The sequence below is a fragment of the Homo sapiens genome, chromosome 5 (assembly GCF_000001405.40).
Source record: "Homo sapiens chromosome 5, GRCh38.p14 Primary Assembly".
In the NCBI taxonomy this organism is placed as follows: Eukaryota; Metazoa; Chordata; class Mammalia; order Primates; family Hominidae; genus Homo; species Homo sapiens.
This window is the reverse complement of record NC_000005.10, coordinates 9,109,236-9,126,039: the sequence shown is the minus strand read 5'-3', so window position 1 is coordinate 9,126,039 and position 16,804 is coordinate 9,109,236. Positions and strand designations below refer to the sequence as shown.

At 40.3% G+C, this 16,804-nt stretch overlaps 1 protein-coding gene across 11 annotated transcripts in view, besides 1 other annotated feature; it reads left to right on the top strand.

The window, feature by feature from the left end:
• SEMA5A (semaphorin 5A) overlaps positions 1–16,804 on the top strand; it is a 511,043-nt gene that overhangs the window by 420,036 nt on the left and 74,203 nt on the right. For all 11 annotated transcript variants that reach the window (XM_011514158.3, NM_003966.3, XM_011514157.3 and 8 more), the window contains 2 exons: positions 3,203–3,384; positions 6,899–7,042. In XM_011514158.3, the coding sequence (XP_011512460.1) occupies positions 3,203–3,384; positions 6,899–7,042 (326 nt within the window). The remainder of the gene's footprint in view (positions 1–3,202; positions 3,385–6,898; positions 7,043–16,804) is intronic.
• Positions 3,311–3,852: an enhancer, noted in NCBI's record as "H3K4me1 hESC enhancer chr5:9122300-9122841 (GRCh37/hg19 assembly coordinates)". NCBI's record gives its function as "activates a minimal SCP1, AML or CMV promoter by ChIP-STARR-seq in naive H9 embryonic stem cells {active_cell/tissue: H9 hESC(naive)}" and the evidence as "EXISTENCE:reporter gene assay evidence [ECO:0000049][PMID:30033119]".

The following is a 16,804-nucleotide window of genomic DNA, read 5'->3' as shown; positions in this document are numbered from 1 at the left end:
GCTTTTGACAGTCAAAACAATACTAGCAAGGTTTGCACAGCAAGCAGGAGTCTGGATGTGAAAGCAGGCGAGGATGTGTAAGCATAGGAACTACGTTTGCTCACAGTGAAAGTGACCTCTTATCCACTGACACAGGAGTCTTTTGGCTGGAGACAAGAGGGAGGGCTGATAAACAGGTGAAAGGAGAATGTTGAAAATCCCAAATGGTAGGGTCTTTGCCTCTTTAACACAGAATCTTCTGTATTAGTGGCTTGAGTCACGTTGTCATGCAAGGCTTGGTTCTCCAAGAAAGCTCTACGGTCTTCAGAGAACCTCATGATCAGAGTAGGCACTGTCTTTTCATCTTAGCCAATAGGGAGGCCACCGAGACCTTGGAAATGGGGATATTTTCCTCTTGGGTAGGATCCAGTGTATCACTTAGAATTGCTCTAACAGAAAACCAAGTGCTGCATGTTCTCACTCATAAATGGGAGTTGAACAATGAGAACACATGGGCACAGGGAGGGCAACATCACACATTGGGACCTGTTGGAGGGTGGGTTGTGAGGGGGAGGGAGAGCATTAGGACAAATACCTAATGCATGTGGAGTTTAAAACCTAGGTAATGGGTTGATAGATGCAGCAAACCACCATGGCACATGTATACCTATGTAACAAACTTGATTATTTTGCACATATGTCCCAGAACTTAAAGTAAAATTTACAAAAAGAAAAGAATTGCTCTAACAGATGGTGCAGCTCCATTCCGTCCGTTTTGCCACAGTTTCTTACATAGATAGCCAGGTATGGAAGGAAATTCCCAATCCCATCCACCTTACTGGATAGAAAATGTTAGAGGGTTGGTTAGAAAGGAGGGATAGTCATAATTATAGCAATTGGATTTGGCCAACCGGTCATGTCAAAAACAACGAACACTTTTCATGTTAGTTCCTATTGTATTTGGGTCAATGATGTATCAAAAGTAAAGTTTGCCTATATTTTTACCCACAAAATATGGTGTCAGCATTATTCTGAAATGGCGAAGTATGGGTATAGTTTGTAACCCGAAGAGAATGAACTGTATGGTACATAGAGTTGTTTCCTGTGAGTTGTTTCATGTGAGGATGATGAGTCTTTCCGATGGTAGTGGATGGTTCTGGAAGAGAACTCTGGCAGAGGAGGAGGGGTGCAGCCAGCTGCAGAGGGCAAGGTGAAAGCATGCGGTTCACTCATCACCAAAGGTCTTCCTTGCTCAGATTTTCTCAAGGATGCTGAAGTTTCCATATTAATATTAGGAGGTTTGGAGGCCGTGCATGGTGGCTCATGCCTGTAATCCCAGCACTTTGAGAGGCCAAGGAGAGCTGATCATTTGAGGTCAGTAGTTCGAGACCAGCCTGGCCAACATGGTGAAACCCTGTCTCTACTAAAAATATAAAAATTAGCTGGTGTGGTCACAGGTGCCTGTAGTCCCAGCTACTCAGGAGGCTGAGGCATGAGAATCGTTTGAACCTGGGAGGTGGAGGTTGCAGTGAGCCAAGATCACACCACTGCACTCCAGCCTGGGCAACAGAGCGAGACTCCATCTCAAAAACAACAACAACCAAAACAGGAGGCTTAGACTTAGGCCTTCTTCCCATTGCCTTTCTGAGGAGAGCTCTGTTTGCTGGTTTCTGGGCATGTGATGTAAGGCTGTGCCCCATGAGTCTCTCCTTCCAGCAGCACTGCCACCTCCTGAGCAGATTTGCTTATCAGATTTGGCAAGAAGCCGTCCCTTCTTCAATGAGCCAGGTACATGCTGGTGCCTCCGCCACACCAGAGCTGGTCATGCATGTCCCAGCGATGCCATGCCCTCCCCTTGAGTGCCTTCAGAGGTGCCACACCAGCAAGCTCAGGGGGCTCCCTGACCCCTCCCCATAAGGTCCCTGCCCTGGGTTCCTCCTCAGTCCTTGGTGTTGCTCCCCTGAACCACCAGCTCACCCCACACTGATGGGGAATGCCCATGTGCCCTTTGCATTTGGCAGCCTCATTCCTCTGCCTTCATCCTTGCCAGCCCTTGCTAGCCCCTCTACTTGGCTCTTTCTTCACTTTTTAAGACTCAACACAGGCTCCTCGTTGCTCTTCCCAGACCTTGTGAGCATGTTGGGTGTTCTCTCCTCTGCTCCGATAGCCCCTGTTCGTGAATCCATCGTCGGATTCTACATGGAGTAATAGTTATGTGTCTAGCTGTTTCTCACTGGCCCGTAAGCTCTTAGAAGTTGATCAGAAAACAGGTTTGACTGGGATATTCTTAACAAAGAGAAGCGCTGCAGCTGCTTAATAGATACTCTTTAAATATGTTCTGAATTGAATGCTTTCAGTTTGAGAGCCAAACCAAGTCTTTAATGATAAATGTTACTAAGCTTTCATTTTTTAAAGGCACATAAACATGCAATGGGGTTGTGCAGCTGTGATTTTTCACTCCAGTTCCTCTTAGTTTTGGATTTTCCAAATTAGTGGACAATTTGTCCATAACTTGATGCCAAGTCACTAGTATCCTTCACTCTTCCTCCTCCTCTCTTCTCAGCCCTCCTCCCATCATTCTTCTCCTTCTCCTTTTTCTTCTCCTTCCTTTCCTCCTCCTCCCCCTCCTCCTTTTCCTTCTTCTTCTTCATCTTCCTCTTCTTATTTTCTGTCTCCCCTTTCCCCCTGTCTCCCTCCCTGCTTCTTCCTCACCATCTCCAGCAATCACCTCTGCTGCTTTACGTTGAAATACTCCCTTATGCAATCTTTTTTTTTTTTTTTTTTTTTTTTTTTTTTTTTTTTGAGGCGGAGTCTCGCTCCTTCCCTCAGGCTGGAGTGCAGTGGTGCGATCTCGGCTCACTGCAAGCTCCACCTCCCGGGTTCACACCACACCATTCTCCTGCCTCAGCCTCCTGAGTAGCTGGGACTACAGGCACCCGCCACCATGCCAGGCTAATTTTTTGTATTTTTAGTGGAGACGGGGTTTCACCGTGTTAGCCAGGATGGTCTCGATCTTCTGACCTCGTGATCTGCCCGTCTCGGCCTCCTGAAGTGCTGGGATGCAGGCGTGAACCACCGCGCCTGGCCCTTTTTCTAACTGCAGCAACAACAACAACAAATTCTAGAGGAGTTTTGATTGTCTTATGAGGGATTTTTAATTTTTACTCCATTATGTGTTCAGCTTTAACCTTTTCTGACACCTCTGCTTGGTTTTGCTTCCTAGACCAGGAATCTCACCGTGGATGGGCACTTTGGTGTGTGGTCTCCGTGGACGCCTTGCACGCACACAGATGGCAGCGCCGTGGGATCCTGCCTCTGTCGAACCCGCTCCTGCGACAGCCCGGCCCCGCAGTGTGGTGGCTGGCAGTGCGAGGGCCCTGGCATGGAGATCGCCAACTGTTCCAGGTGTGCCGCTCAGAACACGCCAGTTGTGCTGCTGTGTATTAAACTCAGATTCTCGAGGAGTTTGGGACATCATTTATAATATAACTCCCTTTTGGAGAGAACTGTGGTGAAACACCAGGGACATTCACCATTTAAAACTTACATGATTTTTGCAAGGAGATTTTAAACTATAAATTGGATTACAGATCTACGCTTATTCACATACTCTTCATTAGATTAGGAAAAGTATTTACAATTTGGACAATATGATTGGCTTTGTTTAAGGAAAACATCCATGTTATTTAATAGTCTTTTCATGGAATATATCTACAAATAGTCCATTAGGGGTAGGATATAATAACACTAGGTTAGGAGGTAGAAGAAGCCAAGTCCTTGATCGACTTGCTCTACTCCATAGGATATTGGAGCTCAGAGCACCTCACCTGAGCTAACGTTAGGCACTGGGTAATCAAGAGAGCAGTTTAAATAAGATAACCTATTGAATAGCTTTCCTGTTGCTTCCGCTTACTGTGGTGGTGTTTGTTTTATTTATTTATTTTTTTTACAACTATATTCTGTTTGCTCTCCATCCCCTGCACCTATAACACCATGATCACAGAGAAATTTTAAAGCAAGTATCAGGAACACTTCTGAGATCAGTCTTTATGCTTCTTTGTCACTTGTTCATTAATTTGCAGTATTTTTTAAACATATTATCTGCTTTCCATGAGCCCACTTAGAATGAAAAAAAAAGTCTCTGGGACAATTGTTTATGAAGTCACTAACAGTGGAAATCAGATTGGGTGATCAAATTGTAGGAGAGCCCAGGTCATGCAGGCACATGCACCTAAGAGGAAGTGGGCCAGGAAAGTAAAGTGCAGGAGCAAAAGGCCGACTTTGCCCTCTGCTCACATTTTTCTCACCACCAAGGTGAAAGGAGCAAATCAGGGCCACAGAGATTAGGGTTTTTTTTTGTTTTGTTTTGTATTACAGGGGACACAGGCATATCAACATTGCATTATGTACTGTATGCTTTCTATTAAATGAAATGATTTCCACAGATGCCTGGGTAAAACTTACAAAAACTATCAAACTGCTGTTGTTTGAAGATTACAACAAGTAGCTAATACTCTTTGCTCATATTGTTTCATGGAAAAAGAAGATTATCAAATGAATTGCTATAACTTATTTATCGATCTGTCTTCAGTTCTTGCTCTAGTTGGAAAGTCATTTTCTAAGCAGAGCTGCAATGCAACTAGTAGTTATTTTAAGATTAAAAATCTAGAAAGTGAACTAGTTTTAATGAGGCTTTAAAAACGTAAGTGGATTGCTTTGTACTAATAATCGTGAAAGTGACCCCCTCCTGATCTCTGTTTACTTTATGTGACTTGTTTGGTCACTGTGTCTGCCTCTAAGCAGCATTTAGAAGTATGGAAACTCAGGTCTGGGTAATAGACATATACGTGTAAAGCTGCATTCACTTCTTTCCTCAGATATTCTTTTCCTATTACTTATATACACTTTTATTTAGTTACTACCCTATATACAAACATGTTCCATATATTGTAAATGGAATATGTCATAAAATTCCACATTTGTGGCCTGGCATGGTCGCTCACGCCTGTAATCTCAACTCTTTGGGAGGCTGAGGTGGGCAGATCACCTGAGGTCGGGAGTTCAAAACCAGCCTGACCAACATGGAGAAAACCCGTCTCTACTAAAAATACAAAATTCGCTGGGCATGGTGGCACATGCCTGTAATCCCAGCTACTCGGGAGGCTGAGGCAGGAGAATCTCTTGAACCCAGCAGGCGGAGGTTACAGTGAGCCGAGTTAGAGCCACTACACTCCAGCCTGGCGACAGAGCGAGACTCTGTCTCAAAAAAAAAAAAATCAATCCACATTTGCTAAAAGATTTAAAAAATGAAGAGTTTCCAAACAAATTTGAAAGCACCATTTGCTTCATGATCTAACAACTTTTTGCACATGTAATGAAACTTTGCAAATTAAATGTAATTTATTTATATTAAAACTGCTATTTAAATTTTTAAATATAATTCAGTGAATAACATGGATAATTTTTAAGATTTTAGGTAGCAGGGTATAAGATACTAGCTGATTATCTTTATAAGAAATGTGGGAAGATTTGTCTTATTGTGTGATAATTTTGGTTATATTATTATAGAGCAGGTTTATTATAATATCATACATAAAGCTATTACTACATATTTTATTAAATCATTAGGTTTCAGTAAAGTAGGAAAACATGAAATATTCTAAGAATTTTCTCAGAAAAATTTTTATTTGAAATTATTTTTAATATGATATATTCAACATATTATTTATAGCAGGACCTTCAGTGGCATAGTTGTTGACCTCCATGTTTTAAAAGGAAATACACGAAGTAAAAATGAGAATTAATGTGAGCTAATATTTTTTCATAGGAAATGTAAATCTTATGGATGAAGGTGACAAATATCCAAAGAAATGCATATGTGATTGCAGAAGTAAAAAAATTCTGCATGAAGTAGACCGTCTATGTGGAAGTTTGGAATCTGGATTTAATATATATTTTAACACATAAAATTTTAAAAAAAAACCTATGTATTTTTTAATAGCAGGAGCAACGTGTTAAGGGGGACACTTAAATTATAACCAGTCTGAATACAAGCATTTTAAGGAAAAAATACAATACTAAAACATTTCTAGAGCTGTCAATAGAATTAAAAAAATTTTTTAAATTGGTTCATCCTATTTTTATTTTATATTTTTATATATCTACATTACTCTGTATGTGTAATAACATAAATACACATGGTTAGTTATATGCAATTTGCACTTCTTATTTGCACTCTTTATGTCTCTGTCAATCTGTGAAAAGATAGCCAATAATCTGAATTTAAACATCCTTTTTAAATTTTTAATAAAGTTTGTTTTAAAGCTTTGAATATTATTCTAACAATACAACATTTTCGTTTTAAAGCTTTGATAGTTATTCTAACAGTACAACACTCTTTATCAATTTGATGCTATCAGGAAAGTTACTGATTTTCATTGATATTAATAGATTTTAAAAGATAGCATTTTCGGCAGTTTTAGATGAGCATTTTGTCCAAAGGTGCACTTCTCATAGATTATAAATGATATAATACAAGTCCAAAAAATCCTAAACTGTAGAGGTGTAGGGATTCATTTCTAAATGCTTTTCAGTGAAATAACCTTATTCTTTATTAGTTTAATATTTTCATGACTCAAGTTTTTTGATAGTTTCTAATATAGTCCATTATTTATGGTGCACTTAAAACTTTATTCTCAAATTTCCTATCTTGGCTATAAACCAGATGCCTGGGGGCTGCAGACACAGGAATTGAGATTCACAGGGTGCAGTCCATTCAGTCCCCTGGCTGGTGTTTTCTCTCCTGAGCAGCCCCAAGCGTGATCCTCCTGAGGAACACAGGCATTTGGCCGTGGGTGCAGACAGGGCTTGGACTCTGAGCCTGCGGGACCTAATGATTGCATTGCTTCCCTTCCCTCAGGAACGGAGGCTGGACTCCCTGGACCTCGTGGTCTCCCTGCAGCACTACCTGTGGGATCGGCTTCCAGGTGCGGCAGCGCTCCTGCAGCAACCCCACTCCCAGGCACGGGGGCCGGGTGTGCGTGGGACAGAACCGCGAGGAAAGGTACGTGCCCACCCTGCTGCCAGCACCGCCAGCCTCACGCTTACTCTCATTCCGGCCAGGTCGAGTTCCCCGCGGTTTTAGTTTTGGATCTGCCTAAGCTTATGTGTGGCATCCCTTTCCGCTGAGCCAGTCGTCCTCTTCTTTTCCTGGCATCCTTTAATTTTGATCAAAGCCTCGTCGACAGCATCACTGGGCTGCTCTGGTGCCTACACAGCTGGGCTGGCTCCGCTGAGCAATTGCCAAGGGATTAGAGTACCCAGGAACCTCTGTGCTGTGCTAGGCTCCTGGAGACTCTGGAAGTACGTCTGCAGGAGACTTACTCTTGTGAGAATTTAACCAGACAGATCTCAAAGCTCCAGTTCCAAGGAGGACCTAAGAAGGTCCCGGATGCAGACACTACTGGGCAGGTGCGGTAGGGTTTTCCTCAGAACTCAGTTAATCCTCTGGAAGGCATGGGAGGGCATATTCAGAAATACCCTCAATGAAGCTGCAGCACAACCCAAATTGGGGGCTCTTTTCCACGTGTATTTTGAGCTTTCAGCACATCATGGCAACATTTTGATTTAGTCTTGGATTTAACAATTTGTTTCTTGGTGTAGAATTAGACATTTGGTTTCAGGCTCAACCTCTGCAATCGTAATCATTGAATCTGTTTTGCAAGATCATTGAATCTGTCTTAATATGCATTAAATATACTATTAATGTTTATTCTAATTTGTCACTATTGGGAAAGAATTCAAGTAGGTAAATTTCATAATGCTTTCAGGATTCTTATTCAGCTATACTAATATAAACTTATTGAATGACTTTCAGTGCATTTTAATTAAAATGTAGCAGGTTTATATTTGATGACATGAGCTCACTGGAACCTCGAATAAAAATACTGTATATAGTTATTTGCTATGCATTTAGTATTTATACGAACAGAACCAACAGACTTACTGTTTAGATAGCTCTCTATTAGGTATTTACTACAACCTAAAATCAACTAAGGAGAATCATTCCTTTTTTTCTTCAAGTGTGTTCCTCACTTGCCAATTAAGATTTCACTCCTTTTGACTAACAGGAAATGAAGATGATTTTTACCAAGCAGGGTGTGTCATTTTTTAAGCAGTCCCTGAGACAGTCTTGTGCAAGCCCTGTCATTTTCTAACACCAGTTGATAAGTGGGAAAGCCTATTATGGAAGAATTGTCTCCCTATTATTTCCAAGCCTTGTACAATTTTAAATTGGTTGGAAGTTTTTAAATGCTATGAATTGTCACCTAGGACAGGTTGAACATTCCTAATCTGAAAATCTGAAACCCAATATGCTTCAAAATCCAAAACTTTTCTAGCAGTGACATGATGCCACAAGTGGAAATTTCCACACGGTTTTTTGACTTTTGCCGTCAAAATGCAGTCAAAACTTTGTTTTATGCAAAAAATTATTTAAAATATATAAAACTACATCCAGCCTTTGTGTATATGGTATATTTGATGTGTGAATGAATGAATTTTGTATTTAGACTTGGGTCCTATCCCCAAGATATCTCATTATATATACACCAATATTCCAAAATCTGAAACAATGTGAAATCCAAAACACTAATGGTCCTGAACATTTCAGCTAAGGGATGCTCAACCTGTATAGCCCATCCAGGCAAAGTCACTTCCATCTGTACAAAGGCTTCCCTAGAGTCAAGGCACCACCACAAACTTAGCATGTGTTATCACCATTCCCAGGCTGATCACACAGGAAGGAAGAGGCTGATTAACACTGTGGCTAACATATGCGTACGTTTGCATCCACATAGGATTTTTCATACAGCGGTGTCTTCAGGAAAAGATACAGCGGTGTCTTCAATAAAGATGACAAGTGTGTTTGAGGGACTTATATGTAAAATATTCCTTTTGTAAAGAAGAAATGTTCATTTGTAGATTAGCATTTGCTCAATGGAGGAAAACGTGAAATTAAATAATAGATGGATAGTAAGAACAGGGACTATGTAAAATTTTTATAGAATTTAAGCTTTTCTATTGAATAGTCTTTCTAGGGGGCTACTGGGAGATTAATGAAAACCAGAAAAACCAAGTACCTAAAGTTTCCTCTGTGGTCTTCATAAGCAATAGGTTCTTAGATGTCTCTGCCATGTTATATGAAAGGTCTCTTCACCTAAGAAATATAAAAGCATTCTGATTCCAACAATGCAGATGTTTGAGGACTAAGCTCAAGATTGAAGGAGACTATGATCTCCATGGGAGAATACAAAAGACTAAGAACTAGGCATACAAAATAATTGATACATGTATATCATATTTATTTAAACACCATCAACCCTCAAGAAATCCTGGGTAGCCACAAGATAATGAATTGATCTTCCCAAAAGATTCCCTAAGTTAATGGTAGGTTTATAGTTAGTGATTTTTCATCTGGGACATCTCCAGTGTGTGGAATTATTCAATGGGAGCTTTGTTGCAACAAAAATCTCAGAAGTATTTACATAATTTTTTTTTCTGAAAAATAACTCTAGCTTAATTTTTACATGTACTTTAAAATGTATAGACAGTTTCTTTTTCTCTTCTGACATTTCCTTGAAAAGATTTTCTGGAGTAGCAGGAACTGAGTAGAAGCACCAACTCCCAGAGAGGCTACTAACAAAAGGAAGAAATGGACGTCTGCAAATATTATCAAGATGCAAATGTTATTATCTGTGCTAGTTTCCTCCTGCTGTGTAGTGGTAGTTCCATAAACTTTGTGGCTCAAAACAACACACGTTTCTTTTTGAAATTTCATAGTCCCAGTGGGTCAGGAATTCCTATATGGCTTAGCTAGATCCTCTGCTTGGGGCCTCAGCAGGCTTCAATCAAAACATGGGCCAGAACTGTGGTCTCATCTGAGGCTCCACTGGGGAAGGATGCACTTCCAAGATCATGTGGTAGTTGTTTGTATTCAGTTCTTTGTGGGCTGTCAAACTGCAGACCTCAATTCCTTACATAGTTGTTATTTAGAGACCACTCTCAGTTTCTTGCCAAGCGATCCTTCCTGGTGTTGTCACTTGCCTTTTAAAATCCAGCAGGAAAGACAGTCTCCTTGCAAGATGGGCATTACAAACTTATGTAACATAATCACAAAAGTGACATCTCACCCCTTTGCCATATTCTGTTGTTTGGAAGTAAGACACAGGCCTCCACAACCTAGAGGAGGTGATGACACAGGGTATGAATATCAGGAGGCAGAGCTCACTAGGGCCACCATAGAGTCTATCTGCCAGAGTTGATTCTCTGTTCCCCAGTCATTCACATCCCTACCCCTCACATGCTGAATGCATTTCACCCACTTTCAAGGTCCCTCAGTCTTATCCCATTAAGCCATCTCCCCAAAGTCCAGAACCTTATTATTTACATCAGGCCCACATGTGGAAGAGGCTGTCTGGGTGTAGTTCCCATCAGTCTGTTAATCTCTAAAGCCAAAGGGAGAAGTTATCTGCCACTAACAAACTTGGAGAGTCAGGCAAAGGATAACAGCTTTAGACATTTCTGTTCAAAAAGGCAGTAGGTGGGTGGAGTGATGGAAATTATGAAGGAATCACTGTTCCATATAAATTCTGAAATCTAGCTGAGCAAGTGTTTGGAGTTGCTTAATTAAGTTCAGGGAGTGGGCATAATGTTTTATGGTTCTTGGCTCTGCCTTCTGGACTCTTAGTTATGCTTCCTGAGTCAGGCTTTCTTTTTCTTGAAGAGAGCACGTGCTTGTAGCTAGGTAGTTTTATCAGCTTCCTTCCTGTCAGTAGAATGTGCAGGGTTTCCAGCAGCCTTTCATGTGTATTTTCTCTGTCCCTTTCCATCCAAGCTGCTGGTATCATTGTGGAAATAAGTTTCTTAAAAACATTATGGGCCTTCAATGGATTTCTACAAGGTTACTCCACTAAACAAAAGCTACATTCACAGACCTTTTTGAGTTAGCTCTTCTCTACCTTGGGGTGCTGCTGAGATGGCTGAGAGACAACACCCTCCAGCTCACTAGAGGTGATCTGATGCAGTTGAGAGGATCTGTGAGGCACACACTTGCTCTAGAAAGGACTCTTTGTGTAACTAAATACTACTCCAATTCTTTCATCTTTCTGAGGTTACAATAAAAGGTTTTACAGTCACTACATCAGCTTTTACTGTATTCCAACCTTCCCTAACAGTACTTGAAAGGACTGTGAAAGCTATTTCATATTTTTTGCATCTTTTGCCATTAAAAGTGACTGATTTCCAAAATCATCCAGTTCCTGTTCTTTTAGTTTAATAATCCATTCCTCAGTCTTTCTTCACCTACATTTCACTGTAAGCAGCATGAAGAGACCAAGCAGCACCTTCAACACTTTGTTTGGAAATTTCCTTAGCTATGTAATTCAACTTATGTGTTTTGCCTTTCATATTAACAAAGGTAGCAGTTTTGGCAGTTTTCACCCATTGTGTAATGCAGTTCTCCCTTTTTCCAGTTCCTGATAATATATTCCTGTTTACTTTTTAAGTTTTTACTGTGCTTTTACACACACACACACAAAAAAAACATAAATTTGCCACTTAATCATTTATAAGTGTGTAATTCAGTGACATTATTGACATTCACATTATTGTATAACCGTAACTACTATTTCCAAAACTTTTCATTGCCCCAAACATAAACTCTGTAATTGTTAAGCAATAATAACTATTCCTTATTCCACCCTCCTCCCAACCCCTGATAACCTCTAATTTATGTTCTGTCTCTACTAATTTGCCTATTATAGATATGTCACATAAGTGGAATCCTACAGTAGTTGCCATTTTGTGTCTGGCTTGTTTCACTTAGCATAATGTTCAAGGTTCTTCCATGTTGTAGCATGTGTCAGAACTTCATTCCTTTTGTAAGGCTGAATAAGATTCAGTTGTATGGCTATACCACATTTTGTTTATCCATTATTTTCATCAGTGGACACTTGGTATATTTTCAATATTTTGACTATTGTCAATGCTGTACTGAATATTGGCATATGAGTATCCATTTAAGTCCCTGTTTTAACTTTTTTGTGTATACTGTATATCTAGGAGTGAAATTGCTGCATTGGATGTTAATTCTATGTTTATCTTTTTGAGGAAACACCATGCTGCTTTCTAAAGAGACTTCACCAATGTTCTTTCCCAACAGCAACGCATGAGAGTTCCAATTTCTCTGCATTCTTCTTATTTACTTTTGTTTTTCCTTAATTTTATCCATCCTAGTAGGTATGAACTGGTATCTCATTGTGGTTTTGATTTGAATTTCCTTAGTGACTAATATTGTTGAGCATCTTCTCATGTGCTTAGTGGACATTAGTGTATCTTATTTATAGAAATGTCTATTCAAATATTTTGCCTGTTTTTCTAATTGTGTTTTTGTCTTTTTCAATAACTAATTTATTTTTGATGAAATTTGTAAATATTTATCATGTACAAAATGTTGTTTAAAATATGCATACATTGTGGATGGCTAAATTGAACCAATTGGCACATGCATCACGTCACAAATTTTTCTTTTTTGTGTGTGTGGTGGGAAGACCATCTGTTTTGATGTTCAGTTTTAGTTCTTTATCCCATTTTCCTCTAAACCCTTACTGGCCATGTCCTTTAAGTCCAGATTTCTACTAATGGATGGTTCAAGGTGATTTAGATTTTCTTTAATGTGCTCCTCAAAATTATTCTGCTTCCTGCCATTCCGTGGTCTCAAAGCCACTTTCACATTCCAACCTCTTACAGTAGCACTGCACTCCCATGTACCACGGTCTGTTAATAGTTGTTATATAATAACATTACCACAGATTTAGGCATTTAAAGCACCAGGTGTTTATTTGCTCATGGTGTCTATGAGTTTTTTAATCTGGGCACAGCTTCAGGTTCTCACAAGGCTGAAATCAACATAGAGGCCCTAGCTGTGATGTCATCAGGGCTCAGCTAGAGAAAGACCTGCCTCCAAGATCATGTGGTTGTTGGCAGCCTTCATTTCCTTGTGGGATGTCAGACTGAGGGCCTCAGTTTCTTGCTGGCTGTTAGCCAGAGGCTGCCCTCAATTCCTTGACAACTGGGTCCTTCTCACCTTTTTGCTTGCTTCCTCAAAGCCAACAAGGGAGAAAGTTCTCTTGAAATTAGGGTATTACAATCTATGTAACATAATGACAGAAGTGACATTCCAAAATCTTTCACATATTCTGTTGGTTAGAAGCCAGTGACAGGTCCCATTCATATTCAATAGGAGGAGATTACGCAAGGTGTGAATTCTAGGAGCTGGGGATCACGGGGAACATGTTAGAGCCTGTCCAATGCATTCTCAAAGTTAAGAGTCCCAGGGCTCAATGGTTTTTATTAAGTGATTATTTGTCTTCATCAGTATGTTTGCTGAATCCTGTGGTGAGCCAAACTGATGTTCTTCACAAGTTATTTTTCTTCCTAAATGGCTTGAATTAAATATTATGGTAGACTTAATGTACGTGCAGTTTCCCTGTTGCCATAAAAATTTATAGCAGTATGGCCCAGTAGAGGGCTGATCATTTAGAGTGAAGCAAGAAGAAAATAGTTCAGAAGAGGCCCTGATTGGTTCAGGTTAACAGAGATTGCAGTGAGCAACTAGCATGGATCTAACCAGAATGGAACATAATTTATGCATTTTATAATTTATAATAGAAAGAACACTTTATTGCATGATATAGTGCTGAGAATCTAGTCCATATGGAATTATAAAAGGTCTTTATTTTCATAAGAGACTAGATTTGTGAAAAAAAGTGGATAATTTATAGAGAAACAGTGCTAGGTCATTAATTGACTTTTAAATACAAAATGAGAATAAGCAGTCATGGGCAAAATTAAAATCTTAATTATTAACACATCATGAGGTACATCTGTGACTTGCAATGCTTTAACACAGTAGAGACACTCAAGAGCCAATAGCATTTGAAAAACATTGTAGCTCATTCTTTGCTAAAAGTCTGCAGTGTGTTGGGGACTAGAGAAAGGGGACCAACTGCTGGCCCATTGTGTAGATATTTTATCCACAATTAATTTTAAAACCCTTAACCAGCAGATACCAAAGTAACTGACTTCCAACCTCATTGTTTTTTGTATAGCTTCATAAGAGGGGCTTCTCTCAGGGGCATGAGTTAGTTGGGCTGGGGGCAGGGAGAGGGTCAGAGGAAAACACTTTCTCACAATTGTGTAGGATCCATACTTACAGGCTTCCAAGCACTTTGTCTCTGAACAGTCTCTTCCAGGGTGAATTCCTAAGTGAAAACCCAGACACAAAGAGACAGAGTTAGCCTAGTAATTTCTATTTCCCTCTGACCTCTCTCAATGGGGAGGCTGCAATTTCAGAGGGTGACACGCCAGCAGATCCTGGTGTGGCTTGTTTCATGGACTACTATAGGAGAAAGAGAAAAAAACAAGGCAGGTTATTGACAACCTTAAAATGCAGCTCAGTAGACAATTTATTAACACTGGCTGAAAGTTCCATGCACGGGTTACCCTGCGGTAGATTTTTACAATAATAACATGCTGAGCATTTTCAGGAGTGGCCTGCTGTCAGCAAATAACAGAAAGGATTTGTGTGCTATGGTTTATTTTGCTTTGGGGAAATGGTAGCTCAGTTGCTGTGCTTTTTATTAAAAGTCAGGGGTTTTATAAACATTTTTGGTAAGGTTTCCCTCTGCCTTCCATACCCATTTTTTTGTTGTTGTTTTTAGGAGAGGGGTTGTTGAAAGCTGAAATTAGGATCAAGTTTTCTAACAAGTCCATGCCTTTTAAATGCTGGTGAATCAGCTTAGAAATGGAGATAGCCTACTTCTCCTTCTACCCACAGTGAGCTACACATAGATATTTTAACTAAATGCTGAGAGTTCTGATATTCTGAGTTTTCTTGACTTCCTCAAAATATGTTCTCAAAACAAGTGTCAATTTTCTCCTGGAATACTCCATGAACCAACACACATATTAATTTTACTTATTGGAACTCGACACATTTGCACGTACTTCCTAAGATCAAATTCTTTTCATCTGTTGTATTCTCAAATTTGTCTTGTCTCTCCTATCTAGAGGCCATGATCTCTTAATTAGAAGGTCCTTTCCCTTCCCCTACTACGTGTAGGAATGTCCAGTGGCCCTGAGCTCTGAGAATAGGACCCTGGGAGACTATAGTTACCACCTAAAGAGGAAAACCTTACGTTTCTGTGTTATCTTAAATGTGGAAAAGATGAGGAAGAGTGATAACTGTTCAGTTCCATTGGCTACGCTCAAATGTGTAAGTTTAGACAAACTAAACTGCTTGCCCAGTTGGTTCTTGACTCTCCGGAGGCTCCTTCACCCCCTACACATCAACTATCTCTCCCTGGAAGTAAGAGTGTCTTCTGCCTTCCACTTTCAGTTAAGAGGCTGACTTTGGACTCCACTGTTTTTGTTTTGTTTTCTATACAGTCACACAGTTGCCATATTGTACTTTCACTATACCAAGCTCCATCTCCACCACTTCTTCTCCTTCTTTCCAACACCATCGCCGTTTTCTAGGTTGGAGTATCTCTCATTTGAATTGTTGCAATCCAGCGTCCTCTAGTTGCTGTTTGTTCTATGGGCTCTTCCTGCTGCTAAACTGCCCTGTCTGGGGAGATGCAGACCCCATACTGAAATATGAGGAGCTCCTCGAATCTCAGGGGCTCCAGAGAATAGTCAAGATGAAGCACCAACTCCTGGAGATGAGTCTGCCATCTAACTCTCATGGAGTTATTTTGTCTCTGGAGCTCTGTGGAAGTTTCCTGATTTCTCATAAAGTTCCAGTTTTCCACTGTATTTGGTAAAGATAGATCATCCCACTCCCTGTTGCCTTTTTATGTTTTGTTCTTCTCAATGATCTTTCGTGCTTTACTCTTTCCATTTCTACCTTCCATTATTTTCCAAAATGCTGACAGGGGTTCAGTGTGCCTCATCCCGTCAGCACCCCTCAGCTTGGCCTTGCTTTCTACTTTTCACATTGTCCCTGTTCCTGAAGCCCACACATTCCCCATGAAATTTTTCTGGTTTGACAGGAAAACAGTTCCATCTTACCAGCATTCACTGTCAGGAAACTACACTCTCCAAGTTTCTTTTCCTGGTGGCTGGCTACCATTTGCCCCTATTTTCAGTTCCAGAAAAGCATTTACTTCTGCATAAATAATTACAGTAATGCCACTGTGTATTAAGATAGTTTTGCACATCCTGAGCTGTGTCCATGTCCCTGTGTTTATTTTCGACTGTGAATACCTGTGATCAGGAAGCCTTCTGCAATTCCTGTTGCATAGGCCCTGCAGGATTAAGCCTTTATTAATATTGATGACAATAAAGGTGACTGACTTACACCAGCAGATGGGAACCTTTGCCTCTTGTTTCTTAAGGCAGATAGCCTAGCAAGAGAGGAGGGCATGAGAAAAAGTTGTGCATTCTAGTATTCTCTAGAAGGTAAATTTGGGAATTTGGGCTTCTTAGATGGACTATGAATCACCGAGTGTGTCTCACTACATTTGGTGCTGTTCAGACTAACCTCTTCCTTTCTATGAGCTGTAACCTGTAGAATGCCAGGCTGTTTCCTTTTTGTTTTTTGTTTGTTTACTTTCCTCACTTCACTTCATTTCACTTGCAGTGTTAAAAATTGAAGAGAAGGCTGGGCGCGGTGGCTCACGCCTGTAATCCCAGCACTTTGGGAGGCCGAGGCGGGCGGATCACGAGGTCAGGAGATTGAGACCATCCCGGCTAAAACGGTGAA